Genomic DNA, 17,520 nt, shown 5'->3' on the forward strand with positions numbered 1-17,520 from the left:
TGATCACAAAATTACATCCATCAGAATCACAACTTGTTGGGACAGATATCAGTGAGCATTTATTGTGTGCTCAACACTAAAGATCTAGCAGTGAAGACAGACAAACATTAGGAAACAATATGGCACCATACATAATTTTAGAATGACATGAATTTGCCCTCAGGTATCTGTATATGATTATGCAGAATTTGAAAGATATGACAGCTATCAATCTTGCCTCTGGAGCTTGTATTTGACATTTTTCTAGACTGCAAATTCATTTTGTCATACCGTGATGATTGCATTTAATTTTTTAACTTGTCAACTCTAAAGTTAGAGCACTTAAAAACTATATCCAGAGAAATTATTATTAATCTTTGAATGCCCAGCATTTTTATTTCCCCCCCCAAAATTTTTAAATTCCATTTCAGGTCTATCAGTCTTCATTATCTTCTTACTATTATATATATTTATTATATGTACCATATGTAATTATAATATTTAAATATATTTTCCTTTTAAAATCAGCAATTTTGCCTTTAACATAAAATAACATATATATATATATACATACACATATATGCATGTACTCAGTGTTTACCTTAAGAGGTAATTTTTGTCTGTCAGAAATTGTGTTCTAAGAAATATAGAACTTGTTCATTATTGAACTATAACTTGTTCATCACTTGGTTCCGGGATTTAAATACCATCTTGTGTTGGAAGATGTGCTTGTATTGTTCCTAGGAGTGTGTATCATCATGCTGCCTAAAAACACTGTGATGGGAGTATATTCTTGCCCATTGACCAAATGGACAAGCCTCTTACCTTCTCTTAAGTGCATAACCTCTCTCCTATACTGTCTTTGCTGTAGGAAATCATAGCAAGAAGGATAAAGGAAAAGACACTAGCTTACTAATAGTTAAATAGTTTGAAAGGCATAGTTTGGTAAGGCAGCTTAGCAATGCTTTAAGTATAAGATACACTGGGCCCTACATTTGATTTGTAATCAGATTGTAAGAAGCTAATGTTTCTTACTGTAGTCGCTGTTTTCGTCCTTGGTCCCATCAATGGTACCATCTGGGTGCATCTGCAGGAAGTATCCCTGCTGGCTGAATAACCTTGTCACAATCCCTTTGAGCTGGGGTTCTGCAAAACAAAATAATTATTCAAATTTTTATTTGGCTTACACAAATGCACACTTACAGATTGTTAAAAACATCCTGTAAGTAAATACGTAAATGCCAATAGCTTAAATATTGAATTATGTATTTGGGAGTTGGGTGTTTCAGTAACATATCTATGCTTTTTTTTTTCCATTTAGAGGTAGAGCTTTAACACTTTTAGCAGTAAACTAAATGCAAATAAATAAAAGCTAATTATGATTGGGAAAATACAGAGACATGCTAAAAAGTGAGTTATTTTCCTCCTTTGTGCATCTGGTGTCTGACTGCAAGATTTCACCAACTTTATAGTCCCATTCCAGAATTATTGTTTAGGCCAAAATGCCTCTGTAATTTCTAAGTTTCTAGTAGCCATAACCAGGTCCATAAGACTTCTATCTCTGCAGGATGTCAGCTCTCCATCAGAAGTTCCTGGGTTTTGAATTTGTGATCAAGTTCAGCCAGAAAGAATAGTTTGGAGAAGAACCACAGGCAACAGCAAAAACTTCCACGGCCATGAGATGTCACTGGCAAATATGTGGAAACGCAAATTTCACCTTCACTAAATACTTCATCAGAGAGGAGCCTCAGTGTTCCAAAGTTCATTTCTCCAGTACAAAAAAAAAAAAAAAAAAAAAAATCAAGTCATACATATTTATCTAAGTATTTCAAACCAGAATTGCTCAACTTTTAAAAACCCTCTAAACACAAATACTTTCAAACTAACCTTTGTATAACACATTTGAATTTTTGTGCATCAGCTAATATAAATATTTAAAGCTTTCTCATCGCAGTGCTGGCTGCCAGCAACAATCTAGTTTCCACCGCATCACCATTTTTGTCTCTATTGTTGAGCAAAAATGAAGTATTCTAGTGCCCTTATAGCTCTAATTATTTCATTAAAATGAGGAGAAAAAGAAAAATGCTGCTTCTGGTGATAAAAATGGAGGCAAAGATGGAAATCATATGATTGCTGAAGTAACAACATGGTATCCTCAGAAGGACAATCGCTGAATTTAAGCTAGTCAACTTCATCCTTCATCCATTTATTCAACTAATGTTTACCAAGAATGTCTTTTTTCTGCCAAGCAATATGGCAGGCACTGTGTGTTACACTGAATGCATTATTGATATTTAGGTCTAAAAGAATTCTAGTTAAGCATTTAATGTGATTAATTCTTTGAGAATTGGCCTACACCCTATAACAAGTGTCTGCAGTTGGGACTTTTGCACATGTGACTTGATCACATTCACATTATTTGGGAATATGGGGCAATGCCTCTATCAACACATCTTTTTCAAAGCAGTCCTACAAAGCAAAAGAGATGTCAAGAAAATTGGGAATGAGGAAGCAGACTAATGAGCAAAGAACTGAACTGGAAATTAGGTATTCTAATTAATAGATATGTATTATCTTTATGAGTTAAATAAATTCCGTTTTTTAAATTTGTGAACCTCAATGTCCTCATCAATAAAAATCTGGAAGTTAAGCTGAATGGTTGTTTGTTCCTTCATATGAGTCTCTATTCACTTTGAGCACATTAGAATCCTCTGCCTTGAATGGTGTCAGAAATAGAAGAATGGATTTGTCTTCAATGCATTTCCTCCATAGGCTCATCTAATCCCACAACTATGGACAAGTCAGGGACACACTTGGCTAGCTAACGTCACTGCAAACAACTCTCTCTTTTTTTTAAAATTATACTTTTAGTTCTAGGGTACATGAGCACAACGTGCAAGTTTGTTACATATGTATACATGTGCCATGCTGGTTGGCTGCACCCATTAACTCGTCATTTACATTAGGTATTTCTCCTAATGCTATCCCTCCCCCACCCCTCCACCCCACGACAGTCCCAGGTGTGTGATGTTCTCCGCCCTGTGTCCAAATGTTCTCATTGTTCAATTCCCACCTATGAGTGAGAACACGCAGTGTTTGGTTTTCTGTCCTTGCTGTAAACAACTCTCTGTGTGCCTCTGCCTTTGGCTACCTGGCTGACAGGCAGCTTCTGATGTGGTAGACTCACCTATAGATTTGAACCTCAAATGCTGTGTGGCCCCGATCAACTCATCTAACATCTGAGTTTCAAGTTTTTGTATCTATATAGTAAGATTTTTAAAAAGTCCTACTCTATAATCCTTGCAAATTTCAAATGAATAGTGACAGAGTACAAACTAGAAAACCCATAAAATATACATCCTAATTAAAGTCTAATGTTTCAACTATGAAAATCAAGGACACGGTATAAGGGAGGTAAAAGAAGCATTCTGAGAAAAGAGTATGTCTCCAGCTTCTGCTTTAGTAAATATTAACTGAGCTTGTAAAGCCACTAAAGTAAACAGTGGGCTAAAAGTACAGGATATAAAACAATAGAGGGGAGGAAGAGGGCAACTGTCTTACAATTCACACTGTATTTCTAATAAGCTTGATAAAGTCACTTTAAGAAGTCACCACATGTTCTCACTCATAAGTGGGAATTGAACAATGAGAACACTTGGACACAGGAAGGCGAACATCACACACCGGGGCCTGTTGTGGGGTAGGGGGAGGGGGGAGGGATAGCATTAGGAGATATATCTAATGTAAATGACGAGTTAATGGGTGCAGCACACCAACATGGCACATGTATACATATGTAACAAACCTGCAAGTTGTGCACATGTACCCTAAAACTTAAAGTATAATTAAAAAAAAAAAAAGAAGTCATGTTTTTATTGGTAATGAGATGCATGCCAGTTTAGTCGTTAAAGCCTGTGAATGATTGTTTGTTTTCTTTGTGCTCCTCTTTCTGTACCTGTAATTAAACACTTCTTTTGCCCTGGTGGAGCCATCCCCTGTTGGAGCCCTGGGAATTCGGGTTGGTAACTCCTGCTCAGGATAATGAGCATCAGACTCTGAGCACCCATCTCTGAGAGCAGTGCCAGAACAGGCCCAGAGTCTGCGTTTTAATCATGTTGTGATATGTGAAAATGAACATCCTGCATTACAGAAGTTTCAAAGGAGACTTGATCATCTATTGAAAAAAATACCCTGAACATATATAATATAGATGGGGCACAGAAAGCTGTGTAGCCTGAGTGGCATCTTGTATGTCTATTACCATCGATCAAGTCCTACCAACCTTTCCAGGTTCAGCTCAACATCACCTTCTCCATGAAGACTCAGCTATCGTAAGTGAGAATCTCCTTTACGATGAGGAAAACCAGAACATGTTTTGCTCTATTTTAAAGAAAGGAGGTATAAAATGAGACCACTTTTCAGCATATCCAGCATCCTGGGTACATTCAACTAACACACGTTTATTTATCAGACTATGCTTGGGGACCCAAGATATGAAGAAAACGAAAACCTTTGCTGTCCTCAGGGAGCACCCAGTCTAATGCATGAAACATATTTGTGTATAATACCAGTGTGGGAGAGCTGATAAATAAGGAAGTGAATCACAGTGATGTGATGTCACCAAGGAGCAAGGGACCAGTTCTGCCTGAAGGTTGGGATAAGGCACTTCATCTGTCACTTAAAGAATGAGTAGGATTGCCATAGGCAAGGAAACCAGAGAAAGGGCATTCCACACAAAACATCACAACTCTGGGAATGATGCAGCCTGGTATAGACAGAATAGAGAAAAGGGTTCTCAAATGCAGACATACAAGTAAGTACCTGTTCTCAACAAATGTTCTAGCACAACAGTGACACTAAGACAAATAGGGTCAATGGAATAGGTTTTCTATGAAGCTAATATTTTCCAGTTTATATGACTCCTTGATTTTAAAATTATGCTCTTCCATTACTGTTTTTCTTTTTCTTAATGAAATGATGACTATATTATTAGATGGTAGGGGAGGAAGGGTTGGTTTGCTCCCTTTTGTGCTCTAAAGTGGTGTGGCAAATACTGCAAGCATTTCACTGAAATCCATTTCCTCTTTTTTCTGGGCACCCAGCTAGACCATATGTCCTAGCCTCCCTTGCAGTTAGGTTTGGCAGATGAATGAGTGTCATATGGAATGTAAGTGGAAGTGATGTGTGCCATTTTCAGGCCAAGGTTTTTAAAAGCAAACATTCTCCTCCACACTCTCTTTTCCTTAACACCGGCCAGATTAAGATAACATAGCCCTAGGGGCTATAGAAACAACAGAATGGAAGAATGTTGGGTCCCTGAATAACAGGTAAAGGAAAGATGACTGCCATTGAAATACCTACCTTGGACCGTGAACTGAATAAGAAATAAACTTCCATTGGCTGTGCATAATGGGCTTTGGACTTCCTTCCAAAACATACAGTATGCAAAGGGAAGGAGAGAGTAATATTATGGTGGAGAAACCTAACAAACAAAGCACTACCTCAGTCAGGCAATCAAGGCTAATATCATCAATTATAAAACATGCTGATAGTATGTTCTCTTGAGATTATGTGATGAGAATAGCACTTTACCTCTGTGATCTTCCTCCAAAAAACCCACAACCCCAGTCTATTCATGAGAAAAAAAAATTAGACAAATGCCCGTTAAATAATGTTCTACAAAATACTTGACCAGTACTCCTCAAAATGGATTGTTCATCACACAAAGAAGGGATAAATGCTTGAGGTGAGAGATAACCTATTTGCCTTGATGTGATTACTATGCATCATAGGCCCGTTTCGAAATATCACTTGTACCCTACAAATATATACACCCACCATGTACCCATACAAGTTAAAAGTAAAAAATTAAAAAAAAAAAAAACTATCAATGTCATTGAAGAAAACGAATGTCTAGGAAAAAGTCATAGATAAAAGGAGTCTAAAAAGACATAACAACTAAATGTAATGGGGTATTCTGAATGAGATCCTAGAGCTGAAAAAGAACATTATGTAAAAATGAAGGAAATCTGAATAAAGTATGGATTTTAGTTAAACATACTGTAATGATATAGATTCTTCATTGTGACAAATATTGTACATTAATGTAAGCTGTTACTATGGGAAATTGGATATAGGGTATATGAGAACTCTGTACTATCTTCACATCTCTATAAATTAAAAAAAATTCTAAGATAATAATTATATTAAAAATACTAAGTACAGCTAAAAAAGCAAGTAATAAATGTTTTCCTCAAAGAGGCTGAGTGACAAGGAAGGTAAAGGATGGGACCTCGGGTTCAATACTGCTTCCCATCAGGATGACATGGCAATTTCAGCAGAACGTTTGAATTCAGAGCCACTCAGAAAAGCTGACACATGCTGGAGCTATCTAGACGTTCCTGCCGGCTTGACAGTCCATCTAGTGCTATGAAGTATTTCCTAGGTACACGATGGAAACCCAGAACAGAGACAGAGCCAAGGGGTCCTGGTCAGAAATCTCAGGATGAATATTCAATTACAGGAAATAGGATGAATTTTAGACGTGGAAAGGATCGACACTTTACTTCATTAGCTTCAAAGGTAAAAAAAAAAAAAAAAAAACAACAACAAAAAACAAAACTCTGGCTCGGAGAGACAGTGTCTTATCCAAGGTCACACAGCTAACACACTGATGAGTTCAGACAAGAACTCAGCTCCTATATACTGAATGGACATCATCCTTTCCTTTCCAAAGAGCAAAATCCTTACCTTACCAAAACTGAGGGTTGGGGAGCAAGAAGGGAGAAGAGAGGAGAGAATAAGGAGGGGAGAGTATCTAGCTGTGAATCAGTTATTAAAGTACGTGTTGATAGAAAAGCAGTTACAGAAAATTGTGCAAGAAATATGTATCTATATAACCTTTGATACTAAAATCTTCTAGGGCCAGCGTATTCACATATACCCAAACTTTAGAGAAAGGTTCTGCATATAAACTCCAATCTAAAATGAAAACTATTATAACAATAATGAAAATTATGTAATGGGGGCCATATCTAGAGAATTAATAGTACTTTTGATAACAATGGCTGTATATTGAACCCATCTCCTTCGTGGCAGGCACACTTCTGATACTTTTACTGTTGTTTTATTTATTATGCATAACAACTAACTGTATGAGGTACTCTTTTCTCATTTTTCATTTTTTGTTGAGATTCAAGGAAGCTGCACCACTTTGACCCAAAGTCACAGCCACTCCCTAGTACTGTTCAGTCACTTTAAAAGAGTACTGGCAAAACAGGAACCTGTCCAGAGGAAAGGAGCCAAATAAAGAGGGTATAAATGACTGTCATATGAAGAATGGCTGAATTAACAGTGGCCGTGCAGCCTAGAAAAGGAAGCATTTGGAGGGATGTGAGAGCCTAGAAGAGGGAGGATTTGGAGAGCTGTCTCCACGTTCTTGAAAATCCAAAGAAATAAGAAGCAGCCAATTTGTTCTGAGTGGCTCCACAGAGATAGACCTAGGGCCAATGGGTGAAAGTTACAGGAATATGCAGATTAAAAAGAACTTTCTGTTTATTGTATTCAAAGACAGAACAGGTCGCCTAAGGAAAGAGTGAGTTTTCTATCACTGGACATAACCAGAAAGAAGCAGAAAAACTACAGGTCAGAGCAGCTGTGAAGGACGTGGACGTCTCCAAAGGCGGAGACACTCTGAGTGAGAATGAAAGGTCTTTTCTAACCCTGATGTCCTGGAAAGCTTTGAGATAAGCCAGATGGTCCACTAAATACAATTTCACTTTTCTGTTTCCTTAGTCGGTGCTTAAGACAGGGAATTAAAAAGACTGTTTACCAGGCATCCAGAAAATGCAACCTTCTTTATAAATGTTAAACATAGATTGTGGAGTAGTTTGACGGGTTCTTTTAATCAGCCTCTTTGGGTTTACAAATGTGCCTTCTGTATTAACATTTAATGTTGTCCACTTAAGGGAAATGAGATTGAAGAAGCTGTTAAATGTGATTCTTGTCAAGGGCTTCGGGGGCATTACATTGATGCAGACTTCAAAATTAGACTATTAGGGTTAGAAAATGTTCATAAGCAAATACATTTCTGACCAATCATAACTAAAGGGTATAGACTAGGGCATATTTACATACCATAAACCAAAGTCCCAGGCAAATCAGAAATGAGCTACAGTAAGCATTTGAAAAGGGACAGAACTTACCTGGACTTTTGAACACACTGAAAAATTGCAACTCTACTGATCTATGGGGATTCAGTAAAAATATATGCTATTTAGTAAAGGAGAAGCAGGCCTGAGGCCCCTCATTCACTCAACAGACTGCAGTGAACAGACCTGGAGGAACACCTTCCAGAACTGAAAGGATAAGGCTGAAGACGTGTCACTCTAGCCTGGCAGAATCTGCTCTGTGGAGTAAAGTGAGTCATGTCCTGTCCCTCATCTTCGATCTCCCCATTGGTCAAATGAAGACGAGAGACACCATCAGCAGCTACCTTGCTGAGGGCCGTGAATCAACCCCAAAAGTGCTGATATTCCAAGAGGATTCTGTAACTAAGTGCATTCTATTTCAGTTATCAATAGATACTAATGGCACGTTTTATTTTTTAAAAATGAATATTTATTGAGCAACAGCCTTTGTGACAGTTATTCTTCTGGGCAAAAGGGATAATCGGTGCATGCTAGTAAATCAACTCTCCCCCACCTCCCTCCCCTTCCAAAAAAAAACAGAGCAGAAAAGAAAATCCAAAACCAGACTTTCATGGGATGATTTCCACAGTGCAACTACTTCAACTATGACTGCTTTAAAACTACTACTTGACATCACTGAACATAGATGTGAAGCTGGAAAGAGGTGAGCACCATCAGCTCCAGCTCACCAATGAATATAACTGAGGATAAAACATAAAGCGTGCATTCTAGTAGGAAGATGGAAAATAAACATGTAAACAATAAAGTATATAATAAAATGTTAGTATAAGTGCTATGATAAAAATTAAAGCAATATAAAAGGATAGAGCATGCAAGGGATGGATGTGCTATTGTGGACAGAACGAATAGAAGATAACATCACAGAAGCCTAAAGAAAGAGAGGAAGGAAACCATTAAGGATATCTAACAGAAATACATTCCAGGAGCAGGGAGCAGCAAGTATAAAGCAATCCTAATAATGGTAAAGATTAATAACCAACAGATTAGAGGCTCTCTGAAGATCCTTCCTCTATGCCAAGAGTCCACAAACTATAGCCCTGTGGCTGCCAATTTTGTTAATAAAGTTTTTTTTTTCATTTTCTTGCTCATTTAATCTGAACAGTATTAGAGCATGACCATGCCCATTCACTCATGCATTGCCTCTGCTTTCATGCTACAACAACAAAGGTAAGTAGTTGCAACAGATACCCTATATCCTGCAAAGACTGAAATCTTTACTAACAGACCCTTTAATGAGAAAGTCTGCCAGCCCTTTCTCTACTTGCTTTCTCTTGCTTCTGTAGACACCTCTGCCTGAAAAGCACAACCCCTGCCTTCCTCCTCTGCCCAGGGGTCCTCCAGAGCCTTCTAAGCACAGCTTTCTTCCACAGGGTCTTCCCTGACACCCTGAGGCAAAATTAATCACTTCCTCTTCAAAGCTCCATTGTGCATAGGTTAGGAGAGCTGTGCACTATTTTAGAGGTGCTTGTTTACACCCCTGTCTCTGCTGCTGAACTATGAACCTCTCAGGGCAGAGACCTTATTCATCAACTCTATCCCAGCACCTAACACAGTGCCAGGCACAAGGTAGATGAGGAGTGTTTGTATGCTGAAGGAATGAAAGTAATAAGATATACCTGGCATTTTCCTTTGTCACCTGTGACTTTCAAAGGAGCTTCTCATTTGTACAAAGAGCTGCTTATAGCCTTTGAATATAATGCCTCTGGCCTCTAATGCGTTTCTTCCAATTTTGTCCTGCACACTGAACACAGTCTGACAAGCACAGCAGCCTCCTCCATAAACTGCACAGTCTCCAAAGCCCTGAGTTGCCTCACATTTCAACAGGAATCGAATGACCTTGAGACAGGCAATCCTCAATCTTCATATTGTCTCAAAGCTACATGGAAAGAAAATAACCTTCATTTTTGGAGTTTCCTCTTCACCAAAGCAGTCTGAGCTGTAGAAGACATGAGACGGAGGGCAGGAAAACTGAGCTAAGATGTGAAATGCCAATAGGGACAAGGTTTTTGTACTGAGCCAGTTTTATTCCTCATAGCATTAGCCCCCTTCCTCCTAGATTCTTCTTTGTAATATGCTCATGAAAATTTAAAATAGTTCCAGCACCATTTATTGACTTCCAACATGCACTAGGTGCTGGGTACAAAGATGAGTAAGATGCAATTCCTGCCTTGAAGGCACCCACGGCCTGATCAAGGAGACACATACACAACTAATCATTATTTCCGTGAACATTTAAAGTGCTGTCATAAATGAACAAATAAAATGCCACGGAATCACAGAATGGGGATGCTAATTTTACCTGGGATGGCAGGTTCTGGGACAAGAAACAGTTGAAAAAAGCTTTAAAGATGAAGTACCACTTTATAGTTAGCCTAGAATAGGCAGGAGGATTTTGCTTTGAGCAGCACCAGCAGGAGCAAGGGCACAGACAGATGCATGTGCTTAGCATGTGCAGGGACCAGGTATGTAGCTGGGTGTGGTCAGGGTGAAGGAAATATGGGGGTGCATGCAGGGGCTGGAGGCGACAGCAGAAAAGAAGCAGGGTCCAGGACACTTGAGGATCTTTAAGCAAAGCTAATAACAAGTTTTACTTTATTCTTTAAGTCAATGATGTCCAAACTTTTCTAATTATACATCTCTATCAGTAAAATATTTTAAATCTACAGCCTTCATATATGTACATGTATAATTTATGCCACGTGTATGTGCCACTCTGTAAATTTTGTGTATAATATAACACAAAATAGGAATTTTAAAATGAGATCAATGAAAAACACAAACAAAAGTTGTAATTGCCAGGCATGGTGGTGCACACCCGCAGTCCTAGCTGCTGGGGAGGCTGAGGTGGGAGGATTGCTTGATCCCAGAAGTTCAAGGCTGCAGTGAGCTATGATTGCATCACTATACTCCAGCCTGGGAGACAGAGTGAGAACCTGTATCTAAAAAAAAGTTGTAATAGTTTTTTTTCATAGCCAATGGCTGTCATGCCCCACATGCTTCAGAGGCCAATGCATTAAGCAATGGGAAAATTTGGAAGGATTTTAAGTCTGGGGCTAAAATTATGAGGGTAGTATTTTACAAAGTCAAAGGATACTGTGGTTATGGGAGCCAGTTAGGGAGCTATTCCATATAAGAAGGACCTTAGATAGGCAGTGGCAATGGGGATGGAAAAAGCTGTCAGCCAGAGGACTGACTGTGCTTGGTGTGCTAACGTTTCAGCCACCTTAAGAATGAAAGTCTCATTTCAGTTGTAAATCCAAATCCCAAATCCGAATCCGAATCAATCGTCATCTTCCTAAGGGAGCACTATTTAAATGTAGAATATTAATGAAAGTGTGGGTGAAGAAAGCTTAACGCAGGCATTCCCATGAAGCCAAATACCTTCTTGCCTTTTAAGAATCTCTGTTCATGGAGGGGAGTTTGACACTGGTCAACCTCACTGGGTTACAACTCCCTGGTCTTTCTCAAATGATCACCCAGAGAAGTAGACCTGGAATGAACATGGCTTTCCAGGCAGCTCAAAAATGATTGCTGGAGAATGCCGACCACAAGACACTTCAAACATGAAGATAATCCTAAAATCTTAAGATTTCAGAGCCAGACAAGCCATTCAGGATAATCTAATTCAAAGCTCATGTTACATATGAAGAAACAAAACACCAGGGAGAGGGGAAAGTCGCGTGGCAGCACATCTTCCAATCCCTGGAGTCAGAGCTCTTTAATATACCAGGATCTTCCAGTTCTGTGCCTCCCAGAGGTTTCCTGATCTTATCCCAAACGAGCTGCATGGTATCCAGAAAGCCATTTCATTTCTTCATGCATAGCCATACTTTGCTTCTTGTGAAATTGTTTAGATAACTAAGACCCACTGAACTAAAGCTTGTTCTAAGAAATTAGGAAGACACATTATAGTGTGCTCTATGACTAGGAAGCCACGCTTATATGGTAGATTTAACTTTCAGACAGAATTAATGTAGATAGGAAAATCCACGGTTAGTTAAACAGTAGCAATGGGCAAATTCTCCTGAGGTTCATTCACAGAAAGGAAATGCCAAGCAGTTAACAAATGCCAGGCACTTTATGTGGATTATCTCTGAATTTTCACTGAAATAATTTAAGGCAGGTACTATCATTGGGCTTTTTTTTTTACATCTATATTAGGGAACTGAGGCTTACAGAGGTGAAATCACTAGTGCTAAATTACAGAGTTAATCCATGCCAGAGCCAGGGTGGAAGGTTTTTGCTTTACACCTCATTGTTAATCATCAGTTGTCTTTTGAAGAACTCTAACATGCTAATACATCTCTCTACTTCTTTAACTGTGATCAGCCCACAAACCCTGTGGAAATCTATAAAGCCAGGGGCCAGGAATAAAAAGCAAACACTAAACTGGAGTTGCAGACATAGCTTTTGGCCTCCTGTCACAAAAAAAAGTGGCGGGGCTGTAGACACTTCTATGCACACAGAAAGTGTTCTGTAATAAAAGCATCCTCATTTGGCATAGAAAAATCTTCTCAGTGAGTCTCTTTTCTCACAGACACATCTTTTGGCACCAGAAATAAATGAACAGGACACATTATTTGGGCGAGCACAGGCATGACAGTTCCCTGACATCAGGGGAGCTGCACAAATGTTGGACTTGTCCTGAAACTGCCTTGGATATCAGAGATCTGTTTATCCAGGTTGGCAAGCCTGAGGAATTCCCTCATGCAGCCCAAATGTAAATTACCTTCAGGTATATTATTATGGTTGTTAAATGTGACTTTTGTCTATCATCTTTTCATACCATCACACACACACACACACACACACACACACAATGCTTTGCCTTTGCAGAGTCAACCAGAGTGAGTTCTAGTGGTGTAATAATACTTTCGGCAAAAGAGCAGTTGAGAGCTCCAAGAACACATCCATCAGCCTTGATCCTGGTAAATTCAGGCACCGTGGTGCAGGGGCATATGCAGGGCAGTGGGATCCGGACATTTGGGGTCTAATTCCAATTGTTTGCTTCTCTCCATCCGCACTGCCTCCACCTTTGTTCAGGCCATCGAGTGCTCTGGGCTAGATTCCACTAACAGCCTCCTCACTAACACTCTTTCTCTTCCAAACCACACTACAGTCAAGGTAATATTTTACAATATAAATTGGATCATGTCACTCTTCTGCTTAAACTCTTTAACAGCTTCCCATTTCATTTACAAGAAAACGTCAGACCCTTAGCATGGCCGGGAGAGCTTTGCACCATCTGGCTCCTGCCCACAGTTTCATCATCATCTTAATTGACTCTCTCCCTGGCTCACTAAGCTCTAGGCACATGTGCCCTCTTTCTATTCAGACCTAGGGATTTTTGTACCTGCATTTCCCTCTGCCTGGATTGATTTTCTTCCTGAAATAAATTCAAGTCACTGCATAAATACAATTTCATAGAGGTCTTGTCTAGGCCTCCAACCTAAATCTGCCGCCACGTTTGTACAGATATTATCTGGCAGCACACTGTTTTTTTTTTCACCTCCCTTCATTGCACGTAGTCGAATTTGTAACTAGATAGCTATTTCTCTTTGTTGTTTATTATCTATTTCCCACTCTAGACTGTAGCATCCCTGAGGGTGAGGCCATGTAACTTTTATTTATTACAGAATATCTAGTTCTTAGCATAGTGCCCATTAACATACAGGAAGCAAACATTTTTTTTTTTTTTCAGTGACCTAGTTTCTTCTCTCTGGGCTTCAGGTTTCATCTATAAAACGACTGTATTGGAAGAGTTCCGTGGCTCCAAGTCTAGGTCCCAGAAACCTGAGGGACTCTCAGGTCAAGATAGATACTTACAAGCTATTTTTAATAAGTTAGAATTAAAAATGGAGAAAACATTTTTAATAGATATATCTTTTACCACTGTAAATCAATGAAGATTATTAAAATTTCAGTTAAATTATAATCTAGACAAACTATATTAATACAATTAATTTATTACTTGATATTACATCACACAAAAGAGCACTGAAAATATTTATCAAATGTGGATAACACATACACTGTAAATATGTAAACATGGGTTGGGTGCTATAACTTAGATTCATTTTGGGAGGCTCTTAGGGACAAGTGAAACACAGATACAGGGAACTGCCACTGTGACTGATAATGATGGACTGTGACATAGAGGCTAAGATCTCATGAATAAAGAAATGAACCAGTGTTTTCAGACAAAGTGCCAGGACAATACTTTCAAGGGTGGCTGATCTGACTGTAGACATGATCAAAAGCCTACTTCTCTCATGGCCGACTCCAAGAAGCATATTTCAGGATTCAATACAGCAAGGATTGATCTACCCCTAGCTAAGGAATCTCTCAAACTTATGGAGACGGTCAGCTTGACTTTAACACCTATAACCTATTTTAAAAATTGAAAACAGTTTCCCATTTACATGTGACACATTGTATTAAGAAAAGGCATGATTTGTCAACAAATAATTTTTAAAGGGCACACGTTTGGGAGAACAATTAACATTAAAATGTATGTTGCATTTTGTTTAGGTGTTACAGAATCAAAAATACAAAAACATTGGGTTTTTTATCTGATGCTTCAAAATCTTGCACTTTGTTTTATAAAAACTGGTTTAATTTTAGAATCTCTGTGTTTTCTTTCTAGTGACCACATAAGATGAAAAAATTGAAACTCTTCCCAAGTATGTATCCACACATAATCCATTCTTTCCATGGATCACCTGTGTAGTCATAAATGGGAAAACAAATTAGATACAATGGTCATAAGATTTTCTTCTTTAACTCTGATATTGAGGCTCTGAAAACATCTATATGTACCACGTAGGAATTTTTATTCGTAATTTTAATTTGCTTTGATGAAGATTATCTTGATTATGATTTGAAGATTTATTATAGTTTTACCTATCCATTAACAGTTTTATTAATTTGAATTATCTTTTTAGCATGAAATATTTCAAACATGCAGAAAACAGAAAACTAATAATAACCTTTTTAACAGTGCTTACCATGAGCCAGGGACTCAAATGATTTCTATGTCTAGTACTTACTCATTCCATCTTTGCATTAGCTCTATGAAGTTAGTATTTTTTTTCTCATTTTATAGATGTTAATACTAAGGTGCAAGTGAAGTGACTGCCCAATGGCTCACCCAAATTTCATAAGCAGAAGGGCTGTAAAGATTTGAGCGCAGGCAGCCTGGCTCCAGAACCCATAGAACAGATTATCATTCTCACTGCCTCTCAACCAGGTACTCATCACCCATATTTAACAAATACTAGCATTTTCCATAATTGCTTCAAATCGTTTTATAGAATCAAACCATTACAGTCATCTCTTTAATTCCATTCCATTACTTTGCTAACGAGATGCAGACATATTTCTGAATTTGGGAGGTAGCCTTCCTATTCATATTTTTGTGCCTGTACTCCCTCTGTAAATATCCACAAAAAGTACCTACTGCCCTTTGTGTGTTGTGCATTTTAACATAAAAATATGCCATGTATATTATCAAGCAATTTGATTATCTCATTCAACATTGTATTAACACCAAATATTTGGATTTTGAATCTTCATCTGATTTGAAATTCCCATAATAGATGGCTATAATCATTTTGCTTTAACTTTAATTTTCTGATTTAGCTGTTTTTATTTCTATCATCTTCGTTTGTGGTTTTTATTTATTATGCATTTCTTTGCTTCATTATTTTATCCTTATGTTCCTTCAATTAGATTGATTTAGTCTCCCTTATACTCTCTCCAATTTTTCCCTTTATCTTGAATTGGAAATTACAGTTCTGTCTCTATTATTTTAGTAGTAATCCTTACATATCTAACATAAAGGTGTAGTTTAACAAAATCCAAGTCTAACTGTTAATTACTAAGCTTTTATCAAATAATGCAAACGGCTAAAAACTCAAATCCACATATTCCTATTACTGGCTAGTATTTTAGTTCTGGTTTCTTTTTAAACCCAAGAAATGCTCGTCATAAGATTTTTTTCGTTTATTATGATAGATTTACAAACATGTTTACCATCTTTTTTGCTCATCATTATAACCCCTCTTTCCCCCCAGACTCAACCCCCTCTTTGTGAACCAATAAGGAACCAATCTATTAAAGTGTAAAAATGTCTCAGTGTTTGGCATTACATTTGTTTATTTATTTCTCTCTCTTTCTTATTGTAATTAACTGGACACATAACATCAAAAAGATGCTTACTTTCCCTCAGCATTCTGGAAAAAAATTTCATCATCTTCTAGCAACTATTATTGCTGACAGGTCTGCAATCTATCTTTCATTTGTAGTTAATCTGTCTTTTCTCTCTGACTTCTTTTAAAATATTGTATCTTCATCATAATGTGATTTTATAACATTACTATAATATTCCCAGGTGTGGATTGTTTTAAGAATCCACATGATGGGAAAAGCCCATATGAATTTTGGGGTTCTGCAAATTCTCTATCTTAATCTCTTTGATTATAGATGATCTGACATTGTATCTTTTCTTCTTTCCCAGGACTCCATTGAAATGCATGTTGGAGCTTCTTTATATATATTTCCTATCTCTTAAAATCTCACTCAATGTTTTCCATCTATTAATCTCTCAGAAGAATTGATTTGTCTGCTTTCATCTCCAATTTAATCATTTTCTCTTCTATTATTTAGAGCTTATTTTTGAACACACACATAAACTTTCTTTCTTACTATTGTCATTGCTATATAATTATTAATTTAATTTTATTTATTTATTTATTTATTTTTATTTTTATTTTTTTGAGACTGAGTTTCACTCTTGTTGCCCAGGCTAGAGTGCAATGGCGTGATCTTGGCTGACCGCAACCTCTGCCTCCCAGGTTCAAACAATTCTCCTGCCTCAGCCTCCCGAGTAGCTGGGATTACAGGCATGTGTCACCACGCCCGGCTAATTTTGTATTTTTAGTAGAGACGGGGTTGCTCCATGTTGGTCAGGCTGGTCTCAAACTCCCGGCCTCAGGTGATCTGCCTGCCTTGGCCTCCCAAAGTGCTGGGATTACAGGCGTGAGCCACCGCGCCTGACCGCTATATAATCATTTTCTTCAAAATTCACCTTTTTTCCTATACTGCCCTTTTCCTGTCTTGTGATTTCTGCTTCATTTAATTAATAAACTTTTAAAACATTATTTTTAAAATTTATTTTAGATTCATCTTAATATCTACAACTTGGGGGTATGAATTATTCAACTTGTTGAGCTTTACTCTTCTTTTTGATGGTTTATATCCTTGTATGGTTTCAATTATCAGACTGAGATTTTCCTCAGAGAAAGTTGTTTTGTGTTTCCCTGGACTGTGA

At 37.8% G+C, this 17,520-nt stretch overlaps 1 protein-coding gene across 7 annotated transcripts in view; it reads right to left on the minus strand.

Annotated features, from left to right (window-relative positions):
- The window catches only part of FGF12 (fibroblast growth factor 12), a 588,152-nt gene that overhangs the window by 220,024 nt on the left and 350,608 nt on the right, over positions 1-17,520 (minus strand). For 6 of the 7 annotated variants that reach the window (NM_001377293.1, NM_004113.6, XM_005247227.3 and 3 more), the window contains one exon: positions 1,015-1,125. The exons of the other annotated variant lie outside the window; for it this stretch is intronic. In NM_001377293.1, the coding sequence (NP_001364222.1) occupies positions 1,015-1,066 (52 nt within the window). In that variant the 5' untranslated portion in view covers positions 1,067-1,125. The remainder of the gene's footprint in view (positions 1-1,014; positions 1,126-17,520) is intronic. 7 annotated transcript variants of the gene reach the window in all.

This window comes from Homo sapiens, chromosome 3, assembly GCF_000001405.40.
Source record: "Homo sapiens chromosome 3, GRCh38.p14 Primary Assembly".
NCBI lineage: Eukaryota > Metazoa > Chordata > Mammalia > Primates > Hominidae > Homo > Homo sapiens.